Source organism: Homo sapiens, chromosome X (genome assembly GCF_000001405.40).
Source record: "Homo sapiens chromosome X, GRCh38.p14 Primary Assembly".
In the NCBI taxonomy this organism is placed as follows: Eukaryota; Metazoa; Chordata; class Mammalia; order Primates; family Hominidae; genus Homo; species Homo sapiens.
In genome coordinates, this window is record NC_000023.11 from 45720990 (window position 1) to 45735556 (window position 14567).

Below are 14567 nucleotides of genomic sequence, written 5' to 3' on the forward strand. Positions count from 1 at the left end.
GCCTCCTTAGCATCTGACACTGTGCCTTGCACATGGCAGGCATTAATAAATGTCTGCAGAATTGAATTCTCAAAGCAAGTTCTTTACAAAATTTGGGTAGTATTCAAACCTCATATTCATTGGTTGGTATTGCTCTTAAGAATGTAGACTAGGAATGTTCAGAGTCCAGTTAAGCCTCTTCTGAAGCTAAAATATATATACGTATACATATACATATACATATATATGCATATGCATATATATACACATATATATGCATATGCATATATATACACATATATATGCATATGCATATATATACACATATATATGCATATGCATATATATACACATATATATGTGTGCGTGTGTGTATAATTTTTTCTTCACATTTATTGTGTGCTAAAAAATAATTCAAAATTAGAGCTTCACTGCCATATTGGTTTGATACATTCATGCTATAGCTTATATCCTTTAAAGTTGTTTTGCCAAAAGCAGATACATATCTTGGCTTACTAGCTGGGATTCAGTGCCCTCATCTGTAAAATGAGGGAGATTATCTATTACTATAAATTGCTGGCATCTCTGGACCTATAAGAGTTTGAGAAGGCAGTATGCTTTAAAAGAAACTTATAAAATATGTTTAAGACTTCAATTTTTTTAGTTTCTTCCCAGCTATGAGTTTGTTTGGAAAATAGGACCTTAAAGAGACAAACCAACACAACTGAGTCGTTGTAATATTGGAAAGGAGCACGAAGACTCCAAACATATCTTTTTTTTTTTTTTTTTTTTGAGACGGAGTCTCGCTTTGTTGCCCAAGCTGGAGTGCAGTGGCGTGATCTCGGCTCACTGCAAGCTCTGCCTCCTGGGTTCACGCCATTCTCCTGCCTCAGCCTCCCGAGTAGCTGGGACTACAGGCGCCCGCCACCACGCCCGGCTAATTTTTTGTATTTTTAGTAGAGACGGGGTTTCACCGTGTTCTCGATCTCCTGACCTCGTGATCCACCCGCCTGACTCTAAACATATCTTAAGCATGTGCAATGCAGACCAGAGAGAAAATTGCTTGTCAAATGACTATAGAGGGAATTTTTAAAGCCATAAATCTTCCAGCGAATGGCATCAGGATTTAATTTTTTTTTATTCCATTTTTGGCCGGGTGCAGTGGCTCACACCTGTAATCTCAGCACTTTGAGAGGCCCAGGCGGGTGGATCACCTGAGGTCAGGAGTTCAAGACCAGCCTGGCCAACATAGTGAAACCCCTTCTCTACTAAAAATTTAAAAATTAGCCGGGCATGGTGGTGGGTACCTGTAATCCCAGCTGCTCGGGAGGTTGAGGCAGGAGGATCGCTTGAACGCTGGAGGTGGAGGCTGCCGTGAGCTGAGATCACGCCACTGCATTCCAGCCTGGGCGACAGAGTGAGACTCCATCTCAAAAGAGAAAAAAAATCCATTTTTGCCTTTTCATTCAGGTCTTTTCTTAATATGATATACAACTTTGGAAACGCACACCATCAACTGGGATATATATGTTACAGGTTAAACATTTTCTTCAATTCTATGTTTAGTCTTGGAACTAATTAAAATGTGAATAGTGATTAATCATAGGCCATGTGTGGATCAGGCACTGAAAAGGCGGGTAAGAATATTTCTACAAGAGATGAAGTATAAGCCCAAACGGTAACTTTGGCCAAGAGCCATGTGAGCCACATAACAGGCATTAAGAAGTTACAAAAACTCCTCTTATAGAGCAGCAGAAAAATGTAGTTTGTGCAGTGTTTTAAAAAATGTCATCTTGAAATTTGAGTCTGGGCTTGTTCTCTTTAAAAATTTGAAAAACATGGATTTGAGAGGGTTTTCTTACATTTCTGATTCAGTCTCTTAAAACATATAATACTAGTTGTTAAAAAAAAAAGAATTATATTAACTTGGCCTGGCGTGGTGACTCATACCTGTAATCCCAGCACTTTGGGAGGCCAAGGTGGGTGGATCACTTGAGGCCAGGAGTTCGAGACCAGCCTGGCAAACAAGGTGAAACCTCATCTCTACTAAATATATATATATAAATTAGCAGGACTTTGTGGCGGGTGCCTGTAATCCCAGCTCCTCGGGAGGCTGAGGCAGGAGAATTGCTTGAACCCGGGAGGCGGAGGTTGCAGTGAGCTGAGATCGCACCACTGTACTCTAGCCTGGGTGACAGAGTGAGAGTCTGTCTCAAAAACAGAAAAAATAAGAATTATATTAACTTAGTAACAGCCATCCTGTAGAAAAGAACAACATGGGAATGAACTTTGCTTATTCCTTAATGTGAGAGCACAGACTTAGACTGAACTCCTTGAATCTGAGCTGAGCGTTCAAATGAGAAAAATCCAATTTGCAAAAAGTATGGTCACAGAGCTGTGCAACCATCACCATAATCATTTTTAGAACATTTTCATTATCTAATAAAGAAGCTCCATAACTATTAGTAGTCATTCCCCATTTCTCTTCACTCCGTTCTATCCTCTCCCCTCCAACCCCTAACCCCAGGCAGTCACTTGTCTAGTTTCCATTTCTATATATTTGTCCATTCTGTACAATTTTTTTACTCCTCCTGTCTGTGATTGTATATCCTTTGACCAACAATTCCCCCTACCCAGCAATCACCGAAGCCCCTGGTAACCACCATTCTACTCTCCTCTTCTGTGAGATCAGCTTTATTAGATGCCACATATGAGTGAGATCATGCAGTATTTATCTTCCTGTGCTTGGCTTATTTTACTTACATTATGTCTTCCAGTTTCATTCATGTTGTCACAAAAGGCATGTGTGCATGTGTGTGTGTGTATATATGTATATATAGACACATATATGTAGATATGTATATACATGTATGTGTATATGTATATACACATACATGTAGATATGTATATACACAGATATGTGTATATGTATATACACAGATATGTGTATATGCATATATGTGTACATATGTACATATACATATTTCACTCTTTTAATCCACTTATCTGTTGATGGGCACTTAGGGTGATTCCACGTCTTGGCTATTGTGAATGGTGGTAAACATGGGAGTGGAGATGTCTTTTTGACATACTGATATTATTTACTTAAGATATATACCCAGTGGTGGGATTGCTGGATCATATGGTAGTTCTCTTTTTAGTTTTTTGAGGAGCCTCAATGCTGTTTCTCATCAAGGCTGTACTAATTTACATTCACACCAACAGTGTGTAAGAGTTACTTTTTCTCCACATCCACACCAACACTTTTTGATAATAGTCTTTTTGATAATAGTCATTCTAACAGGTATGAAGCGATATCTCATTGTGGTTTTGATTTGCGTTTCACTAATGATTAGCAATGTTGAGCATTTTTTATATACCTGTTGGCCCCTTGTATATCTTCTTTACAGAGTCTCTATTCAGGTATTTTGCCAATCTTTAATAGTGTTATTTGTTGTCTTGCTTTTGAGTTGAGTTCCTTACATATTTTGGACATTAACCCCCGTAGTTTGTATAGTTTGCCAGTATCCTTTCCCATTCTGTAGGTTATATCTTCACGCTGCTGATTGTTTCTTTTGTTATGAAGAAGCTTTTTAGTTTAATATAGTTCCATTTGTCCAATTTTGCTTTTGTTGCCTGTGCTTTTGAGGTCTTATCCAAAAAATCATTGTCTATATCCATGTCATGAAGGATTTCCCCTGTTTATTTTAGTAGTTCCATAGTTTCAGGTTTTGCAGTTAAGTCTAATCCATTTTGTGTTTATTTCTTTACTTTTTTTTCTTTTTTATTTCAACTCTTATTTTAGATACGGGGGTACATGTGCAGATTTGTTACATGGGAATATTGCGTGATGCTGAGGTGTGGAGTACAGATCCCATCACCCAGGTAGTAAGCATAGTATCCAATAGATAGTTTTTAAACCCACCTCCTCCCTCCACCCTCTAATAGTCCACAGTGTTTATTGTTCCCACATTTATGTCCATGTGCACTCAATGTTTAGCTCTCACTTATAAGTGACAAAATGCAATATTTGGTGTTCTGTTCCTGCATTAATTTGCTTAGGATTATGGCCTGCAGCTCTATGCATGTTGCTGTAATGAACATGATTTCATTCTTTTTTATGGCTGCATAGACCCCACAATCCCAGTACTGTGTATATACCGCCCACCCAAAAAATCATTCTACCAAAAAGACACATGCACTCATGTGTTCATTATTGTACTATTCATTATAGCAAAGACATGGAATCAACCCAGGTGCCCATCAGTGGTAGACTGGATAAAGAAAATGTGGTACATATACACCATGAAATAATATGCAGCCATTTTGAGTTGATTTCTGCATATGATGAGAAATAAAGACCTAATAACATTGTTTTGCATGTGAATATCCAGTTTTCCAAACACATTTATTGAAAAGACTGTCCTTTCCCCAGTGTGTATTCTTGACACTTTTGTCAAATATCAGTTGGCTATAAATGTGTAAATTTTTTCATGGGCTCTCTATTCTGGTTCGTTTGGTCAATGTGTCTATTTTTTATGCCAGTACCAAGCTGTTTTGGTTATTATAGCATTATAGTATATTTTGAAGTCAGGTAGTGTGATACCTCCAGTTTTGTTCTTTTTGTTCAAGATTGCTTTGGCTATTTGGGATGTTTTGTGGTTCCATACAACAAAAGCCATATGATCATTTCGAGAGATGCAGAAAAAGCATTTGACGAAATTCAACACCCTTTCATAAAAAAAACTCTCAACCAATTAGGTAAAGAAGAAATATACCTCAACATAATAATGACCTTATTTGACAAACCCATAGTGAACATCATATTGAACTGGAAAAAGTTGAAAGCTTTTCCTCCAAGATCTGGAACAAGATAAGGACTCCCATTTTCACCACTTCTATTCAACGTAGTCCTGGAAATCCTAACCAGAGAAATTAGGCCAGAGAAAGAAATAAAACGCATCCAAGTTGGAAAGGAGGAAGTGAAACTATTCCTGTTTGCAGATGACATGATCTTATAATAAATAGAAAACCCTAAAGATTCCACCAAAAAAAAACTGTTACAACTAATGAATGAATTCAATAAAATTGCAGAATACAAAATCAACATTAATAATATTAGATTAATAGATAGCATATATCTGAATATATATACAGAGAGAGAGAGCAGCCTATCTGAAAAAGAAATCAAGAAAACAATTCCATTTACAATAGCTACAAAAAAATGAAATATCTAGGAGTAAATTTAACCAAGAAGGTTAAATATTTCTACAATGAAAACTTTAAAATACTGATGAAAGAAATTGAAAAGTACACAAATAAATGGAAAGATATCCCATGCTCATTGATTGGAAGAATTAATATTGTTAATTAATTAATATTGTTAATATTGTTAAAATTGTTAAAATGTCTATACTAGCCAAAGCAGATTCAATGTAATCTTTATCAAAATAGTAAGGATATTCTTTACAGAAATAGAAAAAAATCACTTTGTTTCTAATTATAGGTCTTTTTCTTATGAGACAGAGTTTCACTATGTGGCCCAGGCTGGAGTGCAGTGGTGTGATCTTCGCTAACTGCAGCCTCTGCCTCCCAGGTTCAAGCAATCCTCCCACCTCAGCCTCCCAAGTAGCTGGTATTACAGGCATTCACCACAGCGCCCAGCTAATTGTTGTATTTTTTAATGGAGACAGGTTATTGCCACACTGGCCAGGCTGGTCCTGACATCAAGTGATCCTCCCATCTCAGCCTCCCAAACTGCTGGGATTACAGGTGTGAGCCACAGTGTCTGGCTTTTAGGTCTTTTTGAACTCACTTATATTTGCCATTTAGATGCTAAAAAAAAAAAAAAAAGTTCTCCAAAAGTAGGCTGTACCAATCGCTGTAGCCCTTGTAGCACCTTCTATAAGACCACATGAAGGTCTCCAGCACCTTATGACATTTTTTGAAGCTTCTATAACTAGACCAACCCATACTAAACAGAGTCCTACTGTGCTCCATTACATAAAACTAAAATGTATTCCTGGGAGAAAGACCATTTGGCAGGATGTTAAGTGTGAAGGCACACTCTTTAAAATTGAAAGTTTCTGCATCACTTACATGGGTCAATAATTGCTTAGGACTAAAAAACTGTGATGTCACAGGTAAAATTAATGGTTGCAAGAGCGATAAATGGCTTCTATACCAAGATTCCTCTGGACATCAACATTGCCATATTCCATCAACACCAAGTCACACATTTGGGAAATTGTTTTAAAATTTAATGCCAGATGATCCTTTGACCAAAAACAAGATCGGAGCCACCCCAGGAAAAAAAAAAAAAGATATTGTATTAAAACTGTGCGTGGACTAACGGGGAAATAGGCTTTCCAGGACACTGAGAAGAAGGATACAGAGATTATCCAGGGACTTCTGGGCACTCACTCTGTTTTATCCTTTAAATAAGCATAAATCTTGCTGACACTGAGTTTAGCTAAAGAATCATTAGCCCATTTACCCTCTAGATTGTCTTTAATGTTCCAGAATATCTAAATATCTGGATATATCTAAATCCAATATATCTAAATATTGTCTTCTAAGGGCAAACATTATCTGTGTAAATGCTTCCTCGATGGTACTGTGACATAGTCAAAAAATGAATTCCTCAGATCAAAAAAAACAAAAGAAAAACCCAACTTTGCATGTTAAATGTTAATGGAAGCTTCCAAGAGATGCTAGCACAGGCAGTGTAAAGGCAGCTACCTTGTTTCCAAGAAGATTCTACATTCCTGCCTAAATAAACCAGGAGTTTAATCTAACCTATGTGTGCATGTATGGTTTCTTCCTACAGCTGCACTGGATTCTGCAACTGTCATTTATAACATTATGTGGGTATCATGAATGAGGTTTAACACTTAAATATATGGCTACATTGAGGTGAAAGAGGGACGGCAGGAACAATGGGAGGAAACAAGTGCATTAGAAAACACATGAATATTATCATGAATTTAAGTTAAAAGGAGAGCACTGTTCTGAATAACAATGACCAACTGAACAAACACATTTACATCTGTCATAGAGTCACAAGAACAAAGAGAAGAGAGAGAAGACAACAGTAATAAATTTATGGAAGCCAGAAAACAGATGGATAGATGGTAACTGACCTAAAAGGCTCAACTCAGCTGAATTCTAAGCCAGCAGCAGGAAAACCAGAAACAACCCAGTTTGCATCTCAGAACTTTTTCCTAACAGCTTAGGAATTGGTGGCAGCTGTAGAAATGCTGGTTAAAGTAAGGCTAAAAACAGGAGATTTCACTGAAAATCTGTTTAAGAAGAATTGGGGTCCCAAAGTGCTTCCTCCACTCAAAGCAGTCGAGAATGATCCTACTTCATCCTAACAGGAGACTGAAGGTTTATTTCTTGAAGCGAATGCGGACAGTGGGTCTTTGGACTAAGGTACACCAGGCACAGTTGATTATAGAGAGGGGGACATTTGCCTATTAAATGTTGGCACAGTCAGCTTTCTCATCTCTTTCAGTTTCCCAAATGCTCATAAGCTATTGTAAAGGTCTTCATTTTGGAACCTGACCAATTGGGCGGGAGGCGGGGGTTGGGGTGGTGGGGGGGAAGAGATATTGGCATTAGGGATTTTCTAATGAAATAGATCAGGCAAATCACATTATAGTGTCTCCCACAATTGAAAAACCCTACTCATTTGTACAAAGCTGTATAATGTATTCAGACAGTCAAGGGTCATCAGATATGAGAAATATGAAACAAAGTGAACAAAACAACCAGAAAGAAAAGAAACAGGAAACAAACTTGGAGAGAGAAGAAAACTTTTAAAAGGATTACTTATATCTTCTGAGAGATAAGATATTGTATCCATGAAACTAGAACAATATGGTATGAGGAAAGAACATTCGGAATACACAAAAAGTTGAAGAGCCGTTGGCAATAATATAAAAATTCAATACGAGTTTGGAAAGCATCTCAGAAAATAGAGCAAAAAGTATAAAGAATTAAAAATGAAGGAAAAAATAAGAATCCATTCAGAAGATACTAATCTGAATAACCTGTGTTAATTAAAGTAACTAAAATCATTTGCTGAGCTATACTTATGAGTTCCTAAGCTTTACAAATTTTTTTTTAAGTTTTAGTTGTTTTTCTGATTTATAATTTAGTTTTTTGAAGTCATGATGAAATGTAGATAGTTTAAGAGGCAAACTATCTGTGGCCACAAACATAAGACGGAAAAACAGAAAGGAAGACATCAGCAACAAAACGATTTCCAGAATTTTCCCAAAAATTGAAAAACTTGAATTTCCAATTTGAAAGGGCTCATCACAAAGAAGGAAGATAGAGCCACATCAAGGCAGTTTTACATTGCTTAGGTCAAATAAAAGGTTTTTCTAAAGAGAAAGAGATGAAACAGCAACAGCAAAAACTCAGCTTTTATATAAAGGATAATGAATGATTGTGGTATTTTATTTTGCCACAGCAATGCCGGAAGCTAGAAAACAATAGAACAATGCGATCAAAATTCGAAGGAAGGCCAGGCACGGTGACTCACGCCTGTAATCCCAGCACTTTGGAAGGCCAAGGCAGGTGGATCACCTGAGGTGAGGAGTTCAAGACCAGCCTGGCCAACAGAGTGAAACCCCGTCTCTACTAAAAAATTACAAAATTAGACAGGTGTGTTGGCTCATGCCTGTAATCCTAGCTACTCAGGAGGCTGAGGCAGGAGAATCGCTTGAACCCAGGAGGCAGAGGTTGCAGTGAGCCAAGAACATGCCACTGTACTCCAGCCTGGGAGACAGAGAAAGACTCTGTCTCAAAAAAAAAAAAAAAAAAATATATATATATATATATATATATATATATATATATATATATATATTTTAAGACTATATATATATATATATATATTTTAAGACTATATATATATATATATATATTGTCTTAAAAATTTTACCTCCCATGCCCTCTTTCTGGGGAAACTACTAGAGTATGTGCTCACTAAGAAAGATGGTAAACCAAGGAAGAGGAAAATATAAGGCAACAGGGGAACCAAGTCAAGAAGGTGGCAAAAAAAAAAAAATGCCCAAGATGGTGGCAAAGGGAGATTATAGGATGACAGTGTTCAACAGGCCTAGGGAGCAAGCTGTCTATATTTAATCAGATCAGAGGTTTGTTAAGAGAGATTTCTCTTTAAAAAGGCAAAACTGATGGAATATCTAATGTATTCAAATGTATTGAGAGAAGGAATGAAGAAGAGTCTGGAAGCAAAAGTACGTGTAAATACATAGAAAACTAAGGAAACAAAAGAAACAAGAAAAGTATTTATTCCAGGGGAAACATAGTTATGCAGTAAAGAAAAAGTAGTCATAGTGAGTAGTGAGTAGAGGTGGAGAGAGGGATATCTAGATAGATAGATAGATACATAGATAGATAGATAGATAGATAGATAGATAGATAGATAGATAGATAGATGATAGATAGAGAGATGACACATTTTATGTAATCACAATCTAAATTCCACCAAGTTGTTTCATAGAAGTTGGAAACCTTATTGTAAAATTTATATGAAAATATAAAGTATCTAAAATAACCAAATGAGGCTCTCCTAGTCTGCCACCGGCCAACCTGACAGGTGCTTTGTCCTAGCTCTTTCCTGCATTTTGCTAATGGTCTCTGAGAGCACCCACCCTGGCAGCCCTCACTGGGAACTCTCTACAGACCCAGAGGAACAAAAGTGGCTCTAAACCCGGCACATGCACTTTGAATGAAATTAAAGCATTTAATATGAAGCACGGGAGCAGATAGTGCCAAATAGCAAGTAGTAGCTGGTACATATTTGGTGAGTAGGGAAGCACTTCCTTCTCTAGATGGAAGAAATTAGTCAATTTCAGTATGAAATGGAATACAATAAAGATATTAGTCAGCAAATGAGGGTCCCAGAAAAATTAAGTCAGCACCATCAAATGGTGACCTGGAACAAGAATTCCAAAAAGGAGTTCTAAATGCTAATGTGATGATGCAGGTTCTAGAGAGGATTGTTACAGCAGAGAACAACGGAGACATTCTGTTTTGAAGACCAGTGGATTTTGACTTTATTCAGTCAACTCCCTTTAAACCTCTGGCACTAAAACCACCGCTTCATATACTTTAAGTGGAAGACCACCAGATTTTCAGGATTTAGAAAGACCTCCTTCAACCCTTCAAAATGAAGAAATCTGTGCATTTGGCAAGCTAAAAAGAGACTGCTCTTTGAGTGAAAATGTTGTTGGCCAAAATAGACGTTGATCAGGAGTGATTTCATCGTGACACCATCACCATAAGAAGCTGTCTTCCCAACATGTTACCCGAAAATAGAACTAATCTTTCCTCTGTTCATGGCATTCTGTCATTTATCCAGTCTTCTACTCGTAGGGCTTACCAGCATATCGTGGATGAGATGGGTGAAAATCGCAGACCTGTGCAGTATGGCAGGTCTGCTGCTACCACTTCTAATCCGCATCGTGACAACATCAGGTATGGCACTTCAAACATAGATACAAGTGAAGGAACTTCGGATGACATGACTGTTGCAGATGCAGCTTCGTTAAGACGACAGATAATCAAACTAAATAGACGCTTGCAACATCTAGAAGAGGAGAACAAGGAACGTGCCAAGAGAGAAATGGTCATGTATTCAATTACCATAGGATTGTGGCTGCTTAGTAACTGGCTCTGGTTTCGCCGCTAGAGGTAACTTCAGCTCTTAAACATACTGCCTCAACAGCTAGAAATATAGAGAACTTGCAAACTTCTTTGTTTCTGTCTTTGCATTTTATGCCGTTATGTAGTCCATGCCCTGATGATGTGTTTCTTCCAGAGAGAAGTGGGGAAGGACCTATATTGTCAGAGGAAAGGTATATTCTGTCACTCAGCTGTATTCACTTTTAACCAGTTCTGCAGTAATACCTACTTAAAATTCTCCCTTTGCATGTTTTGTAAGTAGGCTCTAGTTTGTTGGGATTTTTTTAAAAGGAATTGATTTTTTGCCTCATCAGTCTGCACAACTAACTCTTTGAATGGGAGAAAGAGTGCATAGAGAATGGATTTAGAAAAGTATCTTTAAAAGAAAAACAATGTTTTATTCTGTTTTTCAAAGACTAATAGATTAAATGATTTTGTTAATAGATGGTTTTGCACCTACATTTCAACATTAACACTTTTGAAGTCACGGTCTGGTGTCAGATTTAAGTAAATCAAACCACCTAATATTTCATGATCACCTTCATTAAGCACATGTACAGGTTAAATTAATTCATAACATTTCAGCAGTTTATCTAATATGTGTGCAATATGTGTGTTCTTATTTTCATTTCGGTCTTGCAGTTGGTTTTCTATAAAGTGCATATTTACTAAGCCCATGTGTGAATAATTTTTAAAACTACAGCATTAAGTACAAATGTAGTATATTTAATAAACTGTCAATCAAAAAATAAAACCAAATAAGGTTTGAAAAAGAGGAATAAAGTTGATGGACTTAAACTACTGACTTCAAGTCTTATTATAAAGCTTTAGTCTTTAGTAATCAAAATTGTGTGGTATTGGCATGAGGACAGACATACCTATCAATAGAATAGAAATAGACCCATGCATATATGGTTAATTTATTTTCTCAAAAGAGAGCAATGTAATTAAGTAGGAATAGGATAGTCTTTTCAGGAAATGGTGCTAAAACAAATTAGAAATCTACATGGAAATAAAAAGAATTTCAACCCTTATTGTGTACTATACACAAAAATTAATTAGAAGTGCATCATAAACCTCAAATAAAAGCTAAAATTATGAATAATCTATAAGGAAACAAAAGATTTCCTTAATAAGATATAAAAAGCATGGTACTCTTAAAAGTAAAACAATTTAAAAATGTAGTATAGATACAAAATGGAATACAATTCAGCCTTTAAAAGAGGGAAATTGTGTCATTTTCAACAATATAGCCAAACCTGGAGGACATTATGTTAAATGAAATAAGCAAGGCACAGAAAGACAAATACCACATGATCTCACTTATAAGTGAATCTAAAAGAGGTGAACTCACAGAAGTAGAGAGCAAAATGATGGTTACAAGAGGCTCAGAATGGGAGTGGATGAGAAAATGGAAGAAGCTTATCAAACTTTCAGTTAGACAGGAGGAATAAGCTTTAGTAATCTATTGTACAGAATGGTGACTATAATAAATAATAATATATTGCATATTTAAAAATAGCCACAATAGTAGATTTTAAATGTTTTCACCACAGAAAGGTAAGTATTTGAGGTGATAGGTTTGTTAATTAGCTGAATTTAATCATTCTATATTGTAAACATATACCAAAACACCACATTGAATCACATATATACAATTATTAGTCAATTAAAAATAAATTTTTTAAAAATCTAAAGAATTTTTAAAAAAGTAGATAAATTAGATGTCAAAAACTTCTCTTCTTTGAACAACATTAATATGTTTGGCTCCAAATCTCATCTCCAATTATAATCCCCATGTGTCAAGGGGGGGAACTAGTGGGAGGTGATTGGATCATGGGGGCGGTTTCCCCCAGGCTGTTCTTGTGATAGTGAGTGAGTTCTCATAAAATCTGATGCTTCAAAAGTGTTTGGCAGTTTCCCCTGTGCTCTTGCTCTCCTGCTGCCATGTAAAATGTGCCTTGCTTCCCCTTTGCCTTCTGCCATGATAGTAAGTTTCCTGCGTCCTCCAAAGCCATGTGGAACTGTGACTCAAACCTCTTTTGTTTGTAAATTACCCAGTCTTGAGTAATATCTTTATAGCAGTGTGAAAATGGACTAATACGGAGAATTGGTACTGGCAGAGTCGGGTACTGCTATAAAGATAACCTGAAAATATGGAAGCAACTTTGGAGCTTGGTAACAGGCAGAGGTTGGAACAGTTTGGAGGGCTCGGAAGAAGACAGGAAGATGCGGGGAAGTTTGGAACTTCCTAGAGACTTGTTGAATGGTTTTGACCAAAATACTTATAGTGACAGGGACAATGAAGTCCAGACTGAGGTAGTCTCGGATAGAGATGAGAAACTTATTGGGAACTGAAGCAAAGGTCACTCTTGCTATGCTTTAGCAATGAGACTGGCAGCATTTTGCCCCTGCTCTAGAGATCTGTGGAACTTTGAACTTGAGAGAGATGATTTAGGGTATCTGGTGGAAGAAATTTCCAAGAAGCAAAGCATTCAATAGTTGAACTGGCTGATTCTGAAAACATTCAGTCATGTGCATTCATAAAGAGAGGGTTTGAAATTGGAACTTACATTTAAAAGGGAAGCAAAGAATAAAGGTTTGGAAAATTTGCAGCCTGACCATGTGTAGAAAAGAAAACGCATTTTCTGGGGAGGAATTCAAGCAGGCTGCAGAAATTTGCACAGGTGAAAGAGCCGAATGTTAATAGCCAAGACAATGGGGAAATTGTCTCCAGGGCATATCAGACTAGCAGCCCCTCTCATCACAGGCCCAGAGGCCTAGAAGAGAAAAATGGCTTTGTGGGCCAGGCCCAGGGCCTCCCCGCCACCACCACCCGTGCCCCGCCCCCGCCACCAGTGTGATATCTTGAGGAAGCACGGCGATCAAGGTCTCTCCGAATAAGATTACGACACAAAGCTGGAGAGTTGATATAACCCTGAGGTAGGACAGTAAAGGCATATTGCTGGCCTTGCCACCCAAAGGCAAATTGCTTCTTGTGGGCCTTATGGACAGGAATGGAGAAAAGGGCATTTTCCAAGGCAATGGCTACATACCAGGTACCAGGAAATGTGTTAATTTGCTCAAGCAATGAAACCACATCTGGTACAGCAGCTGCAATTGGAGTCACCACTTGGTTAAGCTTAGAAAATCCACTGTCTTTCTCGAAGATCCATCTGTCTTCTGCACAGGCCAAATAGGAGAGTTGAACGGGAGTGTGGTGGAAATCACCACCCCTGTGTCATTCAAGTCCTTGATGGTGGCACTAATCTCCGCAATCCCTCCAGGGATGTGATATTGTTTTTGATTTACTATTTTTCTAGGTAGAGGCAGCTCTAATGACTTCCATTTGGCCTTTCCCACCGTAATAGCCCTCACCCTACTATTCAGAGAGCCAGTGTGGGAATTCTGCAGCTGCACCGCTTTTGTTCATAAATTACCCAGTCTCAGGTAGTATCTTTATCGCAGTGTAAAAACAGACTAATACAAATACTGTTAAGAAAAAGAATAGGCGCCAGGCGTGGTGGCTTACGCCTGTAATCCCAGCACTCTGGGAGGCCAAGGCGGGCAGATCACGAGGTTAGGAGTTCCAGACCATCCTGGCTAACACAGTGAAACCCTGTCTCTACTAAAAATACAAAAAATTAGCCGGGCGTGGTGGTGGGCACCTGTAGTCCCAGCTACTCAGGAAGCTGAGGCAGGAGAATGGCATGAACCCAGGAGGCGGAGCTTGCAGTGAGCTGAGATCGGGCCACTGCACTGCAGCCTGGGCGACAGTGCGAGACTCCGTCTCAAAAAAAAAAAAAAAAAAAGAAAAAGAAAAAGAACAGGCATGCAACAGGCTGGGAGAAAATATTAGCAAAACACAT

The 14567-nt window shown here is 37.8% G+C and overlaps 1 pseudogene across 1 annotated transcript; it reads left to right on the forward strand.

The window, feature by feature from the left end:
• The first annotated feature begins 10098 nt into the window (after window positions 1-10098).
• Window positions 10099-10768, forward strand: MFFP3 (MFF pseudogene 3; annotated as a pseudogene). The gene has a single exon (NR_102268.2). The product of NR_102268.2 is annotated as an MFF pseudogene 3 (transcript).
• The last annotated feature ends 3799 nt before the right edge of the window (window positions 10769-14567 follow it).